The sequence below is a fragment of the Homo sapiens genome, chromosome 2 (genome assembly GCF_000001405.40).
Source record: "Homo sapiens chromosome 2, GRCh38.p14 Primary Assembly".
In the NCBI taxonomy this organism is placed as follows: Eukaryota; Metazoa; Chordata; class Mammalia; order Primates; family Hominidae; genus Homo; species Homo sapiens.
The window spans coordinates 240,374,976-240,388,281 of NC_000002.12; the positions used below are offsets into that span (position 1 = coordinate 240,374,976).

Below are 13,306 nucleotides of genomic sequence, written 5' to 3' on the forward strand. Positions count from 1 at the left end.
AAATGCAAACAGTCACACAGAGCCAGCAAAGCTACCCTTCACCTCACTTGCCGAATGAGGCTGTTCGGCTGAAACTCAGTGTCACCGGGCCCTGAGTCTGCACACTCACGCTCTCAGCTGCTACAGAATGATGACTCGGTTTCCCCACCGCTCTTTGGATTCAAGCTGCTGCAAAGCCCTCCCCAGCCTGGGTGTCGAGAAGTTGCTTGGCCCAGTCGCATGGCACGCCCAGGCAGTGGGGCCCGCAGACAGCGTGGGCACCGTTTACGGATGAATCGACGAGCCCCTCTTCGCCTCCATCCCTACGCGATGCACTTCCCCATTCTCCTGACACCGCATGGGCTGTTTCTGACTTCCAGCTACCAGGAGCAAGGCTGCCATGACCTCCTGTGTGTGTACATCGTGCTGCCGTCACACGTGCCCCGATTTCCGCAGGGTGCCCACGTCCAGGGTAAAGCCGCTGAGTCAGGGAATCTACATCTTCAAGTTGACCAGGCGTTGTTCAGCCAGTTCCCAAAGTCACTTCAGTGACTTCCACTCAGAGTATGAAAGGCCCCATTTCTCTCCAGCCTCATCAACACAGTACTGTCAGCATTTAGCCCCTGCCAACCAGGAGATAGCATGGTGGAGACCCACTGCAGTCCTGATGCGAGTCTCCCTGGTTACCAAGAAGCTGGTCCCTGTGCACACATCTTATAGCCAGTTGGGTCTCCTCTCTGCCAACCACCTGTCCCAGTGCCCTGACTGCTTTTCTGTGCAGTTGCCTGTTGTTTTGTCATTGATTTGCCAGTACTCTTTACATATTTTAGATTCCAAGTCCCGTCAGTTACATATGTTGGAATATTGTTTTTCATTCTGTGACTTGTCTTTTTCAAGGTCTTGGGACTTTTCCTTCCCTAAAACATTTAAGGACCACTTACCAGACATGCTGGCCCATACCTGAGTGTGGAGAGAACAAGGCGTTGGTAACAGCCCGGCCTTTGGGACTCCACCACATGGAACAGAGCAGCCCCCTGGTGCAGCAGGAGGGCTGCTGGGGACATCACTGAGGAGTCACATCTTGGAGCTGGTGTAGCAGGAGGGATGCCACTGGGGGACCTCACCTCGGAGTAGGAGTGCAGCGGGCAGACTGGCTGGAGAGGTTTCGCTGGAGAGCGGTGCCCATAGAGGCATCTCAGGGCCATCCTGGCCTGCGTGAAGCAACATGACGCCCCATCCCTCCATAGAAAGGGCTGTGCCAGCAGCTCCCACTTGGCCTCTGCGTCCAGGAGTGTGAAGGGATGATTTCTCTGCCCCCTTTGAGAGCCTCCATCTTTATTACATGGGCAGAGGGCCTCCTGGGAGGAAGGTACATGTGTCCAGGGCTCCAGAGCACAAGGTCAGTTTAGGAAGTGCTGACTGCAGCCAGGTCCTCACCAGCTCTCCCACACTGGAGCTAACTTGGCAGTGCCAAGAAAGGTCCAGGAAAGTCAGGGCTGGGGACTATGGGCAGTGGCAGCCTGGGGAGCCCCGTTCCATCCCCAGCCTGGGAAGGGAGGGGAAGGCGCCCCACCTGGGACCCCCGTGGGCCTCACTGTCCAAGGTGTGCAGTGAGCGGCCCACCTGAGTGATCAGCCTGCTCAGAGAGCTTCAGGTCAAAACGCTGCCTGCCCCACAGCCCAGCTGCTTCTTCCAGTCCCGTCCTCAGACACCCATGAAGACACAAACACAGACACTTCCTATCAGGAGACGAAGATGGGCAGATGGGAACCGGAGCCTGGGAGGACCGATACTAATTACAAGGCGACAGAGCCAGATGAAACACCTAAGCACGCCTGCGAGCCGGGAGCTCCGGGAAAACCACCTCACAGAAGCCCACCAGCCCCTCTACCCTGGCATGGCTGGCATACCTGGCCAGCCACAGGGCGCCCCTCCCCACACCTCCTCCCTGCCAGCTGCTGCTCCCGGGCAGTCTGGGTGCTGGATGGTGAGTGGGTACCAGAGGGGCTGTGGGAATGGCAGAGCCTAGGAGGGGCCAGCAGGGGCAGCGTCCTCTCCAGGGGCCACCCAGAACCCCTACATGACAGGGGAGAGCCAGGGGCTCGGAGTCTCTGAGGGCAGAGCTGCAGGCTTGGGCAGGAAGCTGGGACCATCAATCCGTTTCCCACCCGGGCCAGCATCAGGATTCAACCTCCACAGAACTGGACAAAAACCAGGTCCCGGGGCAAGCTGTTCACCCAGGGGCATCGGGGCAGGACCTCACCGGGTTTGAGGGTGAGAAAGGGGTCCAATGACCAGCACAGTGCTTCGAAAAACACCAGAAAATGCATAAACTCCCCCCAATGACTTTGCACCAACAATTACATAAGGAAACTGTTTAAAAAGAGGGAAGAGAGCCAGGCATGGTGGCTCACGCCTACAGTTCCAGCACTTTGGGTGGCCGGGACGAGAAGATTGCTAGAGCCCAGGAGTTGAAAACAGCCTGAGCAACATAGTCAGACTCCATCCCTACAAAAAATCAAAAAATTAGCTGGGCATGGTGGTACGTGCCTGTGGTCCCAGCTATTCGGGAAGCTAAGACGGGAGGATGGTTTAAGCCGGGGAGGCTGAGGCTGCGGTGAGCCATGTCTGCGTCACTGCACTCCAGCCTGGGCAGCAGAATGAGACCCTGTCTCAAAAAGCAGCAGGGGTGGGGAGGAGTGACTAATCGTGGAGAAACAGATTAATAGTGGGGAAAGGTGACATGTGCTTCTTCTCTGGAAGATCAGAAAGGCTACAACTTAGCAGATGGGAATTACCAAGTTAGGAAAAGTATGCCACATGATGTGAGCCCCTTCCATCCATTCATTCCCCAAGGAGAGTCCAGCCCTGGCTCTCAAGACCCCAGAAGGCTGAAAAGCAGGGCTCCCGCTGCAGGGGCAGAGAGGGGGACCCTCTTAGGGGAGTGTGAGCCTAAGCAGCCAGCCCTGGGGAGCGGTCGGGCTTCAAGTGGGCCTAGGAGATAGGAGAAGCCATGGCCCCATCCCCATTCCCATCCCCTTGAGAAGCCCCAGGGAGGTGGGGCATTCACAGGCAGATGTCCTGGCCTCTTCTGGGGAACATGGAGATTCCCAGCCGAGCTGCCCCGCACCTGGCATGTGCCCACACCTGCCACGTGGATGGAAAACATCACAGGTGTTCCGGGCATCAAGGGACCTTCAGGGCTTGAAGTGAGCAGACAGGCTGGAGACGGCGCCTAGGGGTGGCTGAGAGGCAAGTTTCCACACCCGGAAACTATGTTTGATTCAGGAAAGCACAGTAGACTCCTTGCCCCTGAGTTTGTCCAGTTAAACCCGTTCAGTCACACAAAGATAGAGATGATTTTATTATATTTTTAATTTTATCCTCAATAAAATTTAAAATATGCATACAATTGTGTAAAACTTCGTGATGTCATATATTTAGTTCAACTGTATAATATACTTTGTGCTCGGCAAGCAGTGGATACACCTTCTTTTCCAACACCCATGTGCTTTTAAAAAATTAACCATTGGCCAGGCATAGTGGCTCACACCTGTAATCCTACCACCCTGGGAGGCCGAGGCAGGAGGATTGCTTAAGCTCTGGAGTTTGAGGCTACGGTGAGCTATGATTGTGCCACTGCACTCCAGCCTGGATGACAGAGCAAGACCTCATCTCTAAAAAAGAAATTAACTCTGTAGTCATTCACACCAAACATCTCAATAAATTCAAAAAAAATCACTTTATATAAATGAAATCATACTGAAAAGGTTATTTTGTTTCTTCCTTCTTTTCTAATCATTACAATTTTAATACAAAAGTTAGGATGTGGGTCCCTCTGGCATTAAGAAAAGGTGAGGGTGCACCTGGATGCCGTCAAAACTGTGAGTCAGGACCCGGTGGTGGCCACACAGGAGTCCACCGTATGATTTTCTGTTAAGCTGCACATTTTTGATTAAGGCACTTTTATCTCATATATTTTATCTCTCAATGTTTAAAACATGCTTCAAACTATTCTCCCCAAAAGAAGAAGTTGTAGGAATTACATTTTGGGTGACAATGTTAAAATTTTTTAAAGAAGAAAGGTAATTGCTTCGGTGTTTATTTAAACCAAATTTAGATAATTTCTAGATCATTTGGCTCCTCTATTTCTTTATTACTCCAATTCTAATTTCTTAGCAAATGCTCCTGGCTCCACCCCTGAAAGGTTTCCAGAATTGGAACATGCCTGTCGTCTCCACTACTCTCTCCACAGCCTGAATCACCACCACCTTCTCTCACGTGGCCCCCAAGCTCCACCCACAACACAGAAGCCAAGGTGGCCTTGGTAAACCTGAAGTCACATCATGTCGTCTTCCATTTGGCATCCACAGCAGATGTCAATCCCTCTTAGAGTAGAAGTCGAAGCACCGACCTGCAAGGCCCCACATGTTCTGACCTCAGCGTTCACGCCCTTTCCCTGCTCCTCACGCTCCAGGCACATGGCCTGGCACACTCCCTCCTCACAACCCTCGTGTGTCTGGTCCCTCTGCTAACATGCCCTCCTGTTTAAGCCCACATGGTGACCAAAACTGACACTGTGCTGGGCCAAGGAGCTGGTTCCAATACATTTCAAAGGACTGCAGTAATTCAGAATACATTCTCAGACTACAGTAGAATTAAGCTGGAAATGGATGCTGATAAAAGCAACTAAAAAGTCTTCCAAGTGTTTAGGAATTAAACAATATACCTCTGCATAACCCATGGGTCGAAGATGAACCATAAATGGAAATTAGAAAATCTTTACACTGACTGATAATACAAATATAACCTATCAAACTTGTAGGATCCAGTTAAAACTGTGCTTAGAGTGAAATTTTGTGCTTAGAAAGAAAAAACTTGCAACAATGTAAGTACAGCCTTGTGGGAGCATTAGAAAAAGAGGAGCGAATTAAACCCAAAGAAAATAGAAAGAGGGAACTAACAGGGATAAAAGGAGAACATAATTAATAAAACAAATGTCAATAGAAAGGTGGGTTTTTGTACAGATTAATAATATTGACTGCCCAAGACTAATAAAAAAATAGCACAAAATAGTCTGGGCACAGTGGCTCATGCCCGTAATCCCAGCACTTGGGAGGCTGAGGTGGGTGGATCACCTGAGGTCAGGAGTTCAAGACCAGCCTGGACAACATGTTGAAACCTCATCTCTACTAAAAATACAAAAATTAGCCAGGTGTGGTGGCTGGTGCCTGTAATCCCAGCTACTTGGGAGGCTGAGGCAGGAGAATCACTTGAACCCGGGAAACAGAGATTGCAGTGAGCTGAGATCATGCCACTACACTCTGGCCTGGGTGACGAGAGCAAAACTCCATCTCAAAAACACACACACACACACACACAAAATAATATGGCACATGCTGGCAATAGTAGAGATTAAGAAGGGATTACTACTAAAGACCCCACAGACATTACAAATATTATGAAGTATGACAAATGGCTTTCTGCCAAACAAATCAATAAGTCAAATGAAATGGACACATTCTTAGAAAAACAAATATAACAAGAGACACAAGAAGAAATAGAGTATGTAAGTAGTCCTATGCATAATAAATAAATTAATTGAATCATTAATTTTAAACCTTTCCACAGAAAAACTCTAGGCCCAGAACACGTAAGATAAATATTTTCAAATATTTAAAGATGAACTAACACAAATCTTATAAAATTCTTCCAGAAAACAGGAAAAAAAGAAATATCCCTTGTTATGGTTTGGCTTTGTATCCTCACCCAAATCTCATCTTAAATTGTAATCCCCAGGTGTTGAGGGAGGAACCTGGTGGGAGGTGATTGGATTATGGGGGCAGCTTCCCCCCATGCTGTTCTCATGCTAGTGAGGGTGTTCTCATGAGAGTTGATAGTTTTGTAAGAGACTCTTCCCCCTTAGCTCCCTTCGCATGCTCTCTCTCGCCTGCCGCCACGCAAGATGTGCCTCTTCCCCTTCTGCCATGATCATAAGTTTCCAGAGGCCTCCCCAGCCATGTGGAACTGTGAGTCAATCAAACCTCTTTCCTTTATAAATTACCCAGTCTCAGGTATTTCATTATAGCAGTGTGAAAACAGACTAATACACCCCCCAGTTCATTTTATGAGGCCATTATTAATTCACCCTAAAACTTGAGAAGAAAACTATAAAAAATGAGTATCATAGGTTAATCTGTCTTGTGAACATAGGCACAAAACTCTCATCAAAATATTAGAAAATTAAATCCAGAAATATAAAGTAGATAAAACATCACAACCAAATTGGGTTCATTACAAAAATAAAGAGTTAGTTTAATATTTGAAAATCAACAAATGTAATGCATTACATTAAAAGAATAAAAAAGAAAAACCATTTAATAATCTCAGTAAATTCAGGAAAAGCATTGATAAAATTCAACACTCTTCAGGATAAAAAGTCCGAGAAAATAACTTTGTGTGTGTGTGTGTGTGTGTGTGAGATGGAGTCTTGCTCTGTTGCCCAGGCTGTAAAAGTAAAAGAAGTCTGAGAAAGTAACTTTCTTAATATGATACAGATATCATCAAAAAGCCTAAAGCCTACAGCCAACACACTTCCTGATAAAATGTCAAAAGTTTTCCCCTGATGTCAGGAATGAGACAAGAGTCTGCTATTTTCATTTCTGTCAAATGTGGTGGTGGAGGCCCAGGCCAGGATGAGAAGGTAGGAAAGGAAAGCAAAAGTATGGGACTGGAAATAAAGACATGAAACTGTAATTAGTTACAGGTAACACAATTGTGCATGTAGAAAATCCAAAAGAATCTACAGCTAAATTGTTACAGTTAATATGAGAATTTAGCAAGACACAAGATATGTGGTTAGCATGAAACATTGTATCCCAATATACCAGTAACACAAATAGAAAATAGAATTGTTAAATGCTACTTATTTTTCTGAAGACTAATGGAAAGATGGAAACTTTGGACTTTGTTAAAGTTAAGAATGCCTGTTTATCAAGGGACACTGTTAAGAGAATTAAAACTAAGCCAGAAACTGTGAGTAGATATTTGCAATGCATGTGTGATGGTTGGATTTATGCCCAACGCCTGCCTGTGTTCACCATGAGACACGCACATGAACGCGGGGCCACACTATGCCCCACAGCCCTGAACTATGCAAAAGAACAACGCTGTTCATGCGTGAGAAGAGAGAGACCCTCAAGCAGGATAAATAGCGAATGTGTGCTGGGCTTAATACCTGGGTGATGGGCTGATGGGTGCAGCAAACCACCATGGCACACATTTACCTATGTAACAAACCTGCACGTCCCACACACGGATACCGGAACTTAAAATTAAATTAAATTTGTTTAAAAAGAAGTGTACTCAGACCATCGAAGACAGCCATGGAGAAAGAAAGAATTTCTGCCCATAATGATCTAGACGAATCTCACAAATCTAACTTGAGCAAAAGAAGCCAGACACTAAAGGGTCCATAGCTTACGATTTCATGTATGTAAAGTTCAATCCCAGGCAAACCTCATTCACGGTCATGAAAGTCAGAATAGCGGTTCCCTCTAAGGGGGCCTGCGAGATGGGGTGCTGCAAACACCATGTCTCTTTGTCTGGATGGAAGTTTCAGGGTGTGTCCACTTTTTAAAATGCATCAAGCCATACATCTATGATTTGGGAACCTTTCCGTATGTATGTTATTCCTCAATAAAAAGGCCACTGAGAAAAACTGCCCACAAAAACCACATGTGCACCCTCTGAAGTCCAATCCCAGCCCAGATGCTGCAGGTTCCGCTGTGTTCCACAGCAAAGGTGGCAAACAGTGGAGCCCAGAAGTGATTTGCTGCCAGCCCAGAGGACGCGTCTAAACCACCTTGAAGGATCCCATCTGCCTATGAGCTGTACGTGTCAGATTCCAATACTTACCCACATATTCTCACCGGTTCCTTGGAGATAAGAAAATGAAACAGCTTGGAAGATTTTTAGCATGCTGGACTTGGCTCCTAAACTCACAGTTCATATCCCCCATAAAGTGAGATATTGAAAGTAAATTTTGTCCTCCGTAGATGAAGCCATCTTTTAGCTCCACGCTCTGGTGCTCACGGAGATGAACCACAGCTCAAGATCAATCCATTTTATACCCAACGACCCCCGCATGGTCTCACCCACCGCCCGCTCTCTGAGACCACGTGCTGAGAAGGACAGCTCCAGGTCAGGAGTGCTGGCGTGCTCTTCCCAGCAGGGGAATCAGGCAGGCTTGAGGGGTGCTGAGAAGTCTGCATTTGGCAGGTGGGTGCACCCAGGGCAGCCAGAGAGTGCGAGGGCCGGACATCCTCAGCGGGCTCTAGTGCCTCTCCAGCCTCCTACCAAGCCAGGTGCCCTGGGCAGCTGGCCAAGAACTCAGTTCTGGGGTTGGCCAGCCTCGGACCCTCCCAGTTGTGTCTTTCAGGCACTGTCCCAGGTTCTTTTTCAAGGCAAATTTCCTTCTAATGCCGAAAAGTCAGCCTCCCCGGGGCACGCAGGACTCCCCCTCCTAAGCCCAGACCACAATCCTGCCCCTGCCACTCCCCATCCACACAGAGCATCCTTCCCAGGCTCACCCCCATGGGCTCGCTGCCATCGGGTCCTGGGCCATGAGCCACGAGGTTCAGAGGGAGAGGGGCCAGCGTGGCCTGGGCAAGGTCAGGCCTGCCTTGCCAGACAGTTTTCCCGGAACAGGCTGGGGGTGCCGGGCCTGGAACAACAGGGTGAGGCTCCTCCTGGCCCCAGCAGCATGTGCTGCACCCACCCATCTTCCTTTTGTTCTTTCTTCTTTCTTTGCTCATTGGTGCCCCCCCAGCTGTGAGTCCCTGAAGACGAGTACCCTTGGTCACCAATGGACCAGCGCCCACCACTGCCCTCGGTCACCACTGGACCTGGCATACACCACTGTGTCCCCACAGCTAACTGTGACTACCTGAGGACTGACACCCTCGGTCACCACTGAACCCAGCACCCACCACTGCCCTCGGTCGCCACTGGACACGTCGCCCACCACTGCCCTCGGTCACCACTGGACCCGACACCCACCACTGCCCTCGGTCACCGCTGGACCCGGTGCACACCACTGTGTCCCCACAGCCAACCGTGAGTCCCTAAGGACAGCCAACCGTGAGTCCCTGAGGACACTGCCCTCGGTCACCACTGGACCTGGCACCCACCACTGCCCTCAGTCACCACTGGACCAGCGCCCACGACTTCACAGTGCTCACTGGGTGCTTCCAAGTGAATGAATGAAGGGGTGAAGGATGAGCAGCACATGCAGCTCTGCTCACTTCGCAGATCGCAGAGGGCTGTCTGGGTGGGGGGGTCTTTCAGACTGCCACCTTGAATAGAGGACAGAAAGAGGGCCCTGCTAGGCGGCTGGCACCTGCGTCCGGCACCCCCTCGGCCCAGCTGTCCCCTGCTGGCTACCCTGTGCTATGGCCGCAGGCGGGTCTCTGAGTCCTTCATGCTCCCTGTGTTCTGGCCCCAGCATGGAGCCCAGCCCTCTGCAGATGCGGGCGCCAGGTCCTGGATGATGGGGGCCCCACTCCTCGAGGGCTAGGACTCAGCTTGCAGCTGGTCCAGCAGTCAGGCCACTCAGGGGCTGCTCCTAGTCAAGGTCTCCAATGCCTTCCAACAGATGATGCCACACGTGGCCAGCTCCAACTCCAGCTCCTCGCGGGGAGCACAGGTTTCTGTACCACCTGCAGCCCACAGCCAGGTGCCACCTTCCCCTGTGCCAACCAGTACCCCAGCATGGACAGGAATGGGGCAGAGAGTCCTCTGGGGGGAACATCAAAATACCCTAGTATGTTAGTGACTCGGCCAGTCAGCAATGTGCTGGTAATTGCTTAACAAGGGACTCTCAGAAGGGGCAGGGCTGGTCTGCAGCATCCGCACACACTCCCACCGTGGCTGGTTGCAAACCACTGGTGTTAGGGCTTAGAACGTGGAGCGAGAGCGATGCACACAGTCAGTGCTCTGGAGCCTGAGCTGCCTCCAGCAACCATGGGGACCACGTGCTGACCTGGGTGGTGTGTGGTCAACCCGGATTTTTTGCAGGACATCCCAGCACTGGCCGTGACCTGCGCCTGGCCCCACGGTGGGGCGCTGCTGGTGTAATCTGCCCAGCAGGTGGCTGCTGAGACCCAGAGTCACGCCTTCCACACTCGGGTTTCCACAGTTGTCTCTATGTCAAATCCTGTCAGCTGCACAGTCCTGCAAGTCCTCTCTGCTCTGCCTCGAGGCCCCCATATGTGATTCCCCAAATGCCACAAGCTTGAACCCACAAAGCACATCCTGCTTTAGAAGTCATGGACCTGGAGCTGGGCTGGCTGGACTGGGCTGGGCTGAGCTAGGCTGGGCTGGGCTGAACTGGGTTGAACCAGGCTTGGCTGGGCTCACCTGGGCTGGGCTGGGCTGAACTGGGTTGAACTAGGCTTGGCTGGGCTAACCTGGGCTAACCTGGGCTAACCTGGGCTGGGCTGGGCTGGGCTGAACTGGGTTGAACTAGGCTTGGCTGGGCTAACCTGGGCTAACCTGGGCTAACCTGGGCTGGGCTGGGCTGTGCTGGGCTGAGCTGGGCTGGGCTGAGCCGGGCAGGGCTGGGCTGGGCTGGGCTGGGCTGAACTGGGCTGAGCTTGGCTGGGCTGAGCTGGGCTGGGCTGGCCTGAACTGGGTTAAACCAGGCTTGGCTCGGCTAACCTGGGCTGGGCCATGCTGGGCTGAGCTGGGCTGGGCTGGGCTGAGCTGAGTTGGGCTGGGCTGGGCTGAACTGGGCAGGGCTAAGCTGGGCTGGGCGGGAGCTGGGCTGAACTTGGCTAAGCTAGGCTGAGCTGGGCTGGGCTGAGCTAGACTGGACTAGGCTGAGCTGGGCTGGGCTGAGCTGGGCTGGGCTGAGCTAGACTGGACTAGGCTGAGCTGGGCTGGGCTGAGCTGGGCTGGGCTGAGCTAGACTGGGCTAGGCTGAGCTGGGCTGAGCTTGGCTGGGCTGAGCTGGGCTGAGCTGAACTGGGCTGAGCTTGGCTGGGCTGAGCTAGGCTGGGCTGGGCTGAACTGGGTTGAACTAGGCTTGGCTGGGCTAACCTGGGCTGGGCTGGGCTGTGCTGGGCTGGACTGAGGTGGGCTGGGATGAGCTTGGCTGGGCTGGACTGAGGTGAACAGGGTTGCACTGGGCTAGGCTGAACTAAGCTAGAGTGGACTGGGCTAAGCTGGGCTGAGGTGGCCTGGGGCCTGCCTGGCCATTTTGCCTGAGCTCATAGACCAGAAAAGCTAAGAGGACCAGGCTGGTGGAGACCCTTTGTCAATGCCCCCTCCCTTGAGCTCTGAGGGCTGTTGGGGGATGGAGGAAGAAGTTGGGAGCAGGGGATGAGGAGGAGCCTGGGGGGACCCAGTGTTTCCACCCACACCAGAGCCCCCGCAGCAGATGCCAGCCCACTAGGACCTGGTGGGCCCAGAGGTGTGCAGAGGGAGCAGGTGGCACCATGTGGCCCCACCACCTACGTTGGTGACAAGGCCAACCCAGAGCCAAGGGGAGGGGCGACGTGGACCCTGCCGCAACTGGAGACCTGGCAGAGGAGCTCCGGAAAACACCACGGGGGCCTCCTTGAGAACAATCTGTTCTGTGATTTCGTCAAGCTGAGTGAGGGAAGCCAGGCACGGGCTGCATATTGCATGTTCCGCTTCTGTGAAATGTACAGAACAGGCAAACTCACAGAGGCAGAGGGCAGACGGGATCGCCTGGGGCTGGGGTAGTTAATGGGCGGGTGACGGTCGAGTATGGGGTTTCTTTTAGGGGTGAAAAAAATGTTCTGGGGTAAGATAGTGGTGATGCCACAGAACTCCACAAACACTTAGCAGCTATTGAATTGAACACTTAGCAGCTATTGAACTGAGTGCTTCAAACGGGTGATTTATAGGGTATATGAATTACATCTCAATAAAGCTGTTATTTAAAAAAAAAAAAAAAAAAAAAGTAAAGGCCGGGAACGGGTGTGGTGGCTCACACCTGTAATCCCAGTACTTTGGGAGGCCAAGGAGGGTGGATCACCTTAGGTCAGGAGTTCAAGACCAGCCTGGCCAACAGGCAAAACCCTGTCTCTACTAAAAATACAAAAATTAGCCAGGCATGGTGGCAGGTGCCTGTAATCCCAGCTACTCAGGAGCCTGAGGCAGGACAACCACTTGAACCCTGGAGGTGAAGGTTGTGGTGAGCCCAGGTCATGCCACTGCACTCCAGCCTGACAAGAGCAAGACTCTATCTCAAAAAAAAAAAGAAAGAAAAGAAAAGAAAAGAGGCGCAACCCGCTCAGGTCTCCTTCCACACTGTGGAAGCTTTGTTCTTTCGCTCTTCACAATAAACCTTGCTACTGCTCCCCAAAAAGAGAGAGAGAGAGAGAGAAGAGAAATACCAGCTCCATAGAACGGGCTTCTTACCTGCTTTTCTACTTGAACCTCTTGTCGTTTGTGCTGAAAACCTCAGGTCCTGATCCCTGAGCTGCTCACTTGGGTTATCACTACAACAGAAACAGAAACACACGCACGTGCGGCAGCTGAAACGAGGACTCGTTACTCACAATCACCCCTCAGATTTCTGGGCTGCTCCACTGCACTGGAAACAGGCACACCACTTGAGATCTCAGATACACGTAATCATCATAACATTTCAATCGGAATATTCACATTTCAGCCATATCTGAAAACTGTGATTCGCGGAATCTGCGCGTTCCCAACTCCTGCAGGGGGAGGCCAATGCATCACATCTTCTAAAACAGCCAAGTCATGGGCTCTCAAATGGCTCAGCTGTCAATCCGACAGTGCCTGAGTCATCTCCAGCTGCTGAGTCACGATGACCCCAATCCCAGAGTCCCAGAGCTGGAAGGGACCCAAGAAGTCCTCTCCCTGGGAGAAGGCTCGTCCGGAGAGCTTTCGCCCGCAGCGGCCCCATCCTGTCAGCTGTGGAGCGGGGGCATGGTCTGGAGAGGGACTTCAGGTCATTCGGGCTCCTCTCCAGCCACTGGGACCCTAGGCACTGTGCCTGTTCTGAACACACAAGAGGAGCCATTATCAGGCACAGGGAGAAGGCACTGCCAGGCCAGGGAGGCTGTGGAAGGGCGTGAGCCCTGTAGGGCCCAGGGTCAGCCCACCCCACATGGATCCTGCCTGTGGGACCTGGGTTCATCCCAGCAGGGCTTCCTGACCCATCCTGGCCTCCCTCCCCTTGAAGCCCTTCACCCTGCCCACAGGCAGGGCCCTCCTCCCGGGGAAAGCCACGGGCAAGGGCAGCCAGACCTGTAGCTCCCTCCACAGCCAA

The 13,306-nt window shown here is 51.9% G+C and overlaps 1 long non-coding RNA gene across 1 annotated transcript, besides 4 other annotated features; it reads right to left on the minus strand.

Annotated features, from left to right (window-relative positions):
* Positions 2,212 to 2,712: an enhancer, noted in NCBI's record as "H3K27ac hESC enhancer chr2:241316604-241317104 (GRCh37/hg19 assembly coordinates)". NCBI's record gives its function as "activates a minimal SCP1, AML or CMV promoter by ChIP-STARR-seq in naive H9 embryonic stem cells {active_cell/tissue: H9 hESC(naive)}" and the evidence as "EXISTENCE:reporter gene assay evidence [ECO:0000049][PMID:30033119]".
* Positions 2,713 to 3,213: an enhancer, noted in NCBI's record as "H3K27ac hESC enhancer chr2:241317105-241317605 (GRCh37/hg19 assembly coordinates)". NCBI's record gives its function as "activates a minimal SCP1, AML or CMV promoter by ChIP-STARR-seq in naive H9 embryonic stem cells {active_cell/tissue: H9 hESC(naive)}" and the evidence as "EXISTENCE:reporter gene assay evidence [ECO:0000049][PMID:30033119]".
* Positions 6,265 to 12,814, minus strand: LOC102723825 (uncharacterized). The gene is made up of 3 exons (XR_001739239.2): positions 12,676 to 12,814; positions 12,430 to 12,509; positions 6,265 to 11,678 (listed from the first exon to the last, which is right to left on the minus strand). It is a non-coding gene; the product is annotated as an uncharacterized LOC102723825 (long non-coding RNA).
* Positions 12,763 to 12,907: an enhancer, noted in NCBI's record as "145 bp enhancer 30 fragment used in the MPRA reporter construct; PK_construct_3927". NCBI's record gives its function as "activates an SV40 promoter by MPRA in HepG2 and K562 cells {active_cell/tissue: HepG2 | K562}" and the evidence as "EXISTENCE:reporter gene assay evidence [ECO:0000049][PMID:23512712]".
* Positions 12,830 to 12,840: a transcriptional cis regulatory region, noted in NCBI's record as "NFE2L2 motif; enhancer activity is reduced when this motif is scrambled". NCBI's record gives its function as "necessary for full MPRA enhancer 30 activity {active_cell/tissue: HepG2 | K562}" and the evidence as "EXISTENCE:site-directed mutagenesis evidence [ECO:0005528][PMID:23512712]".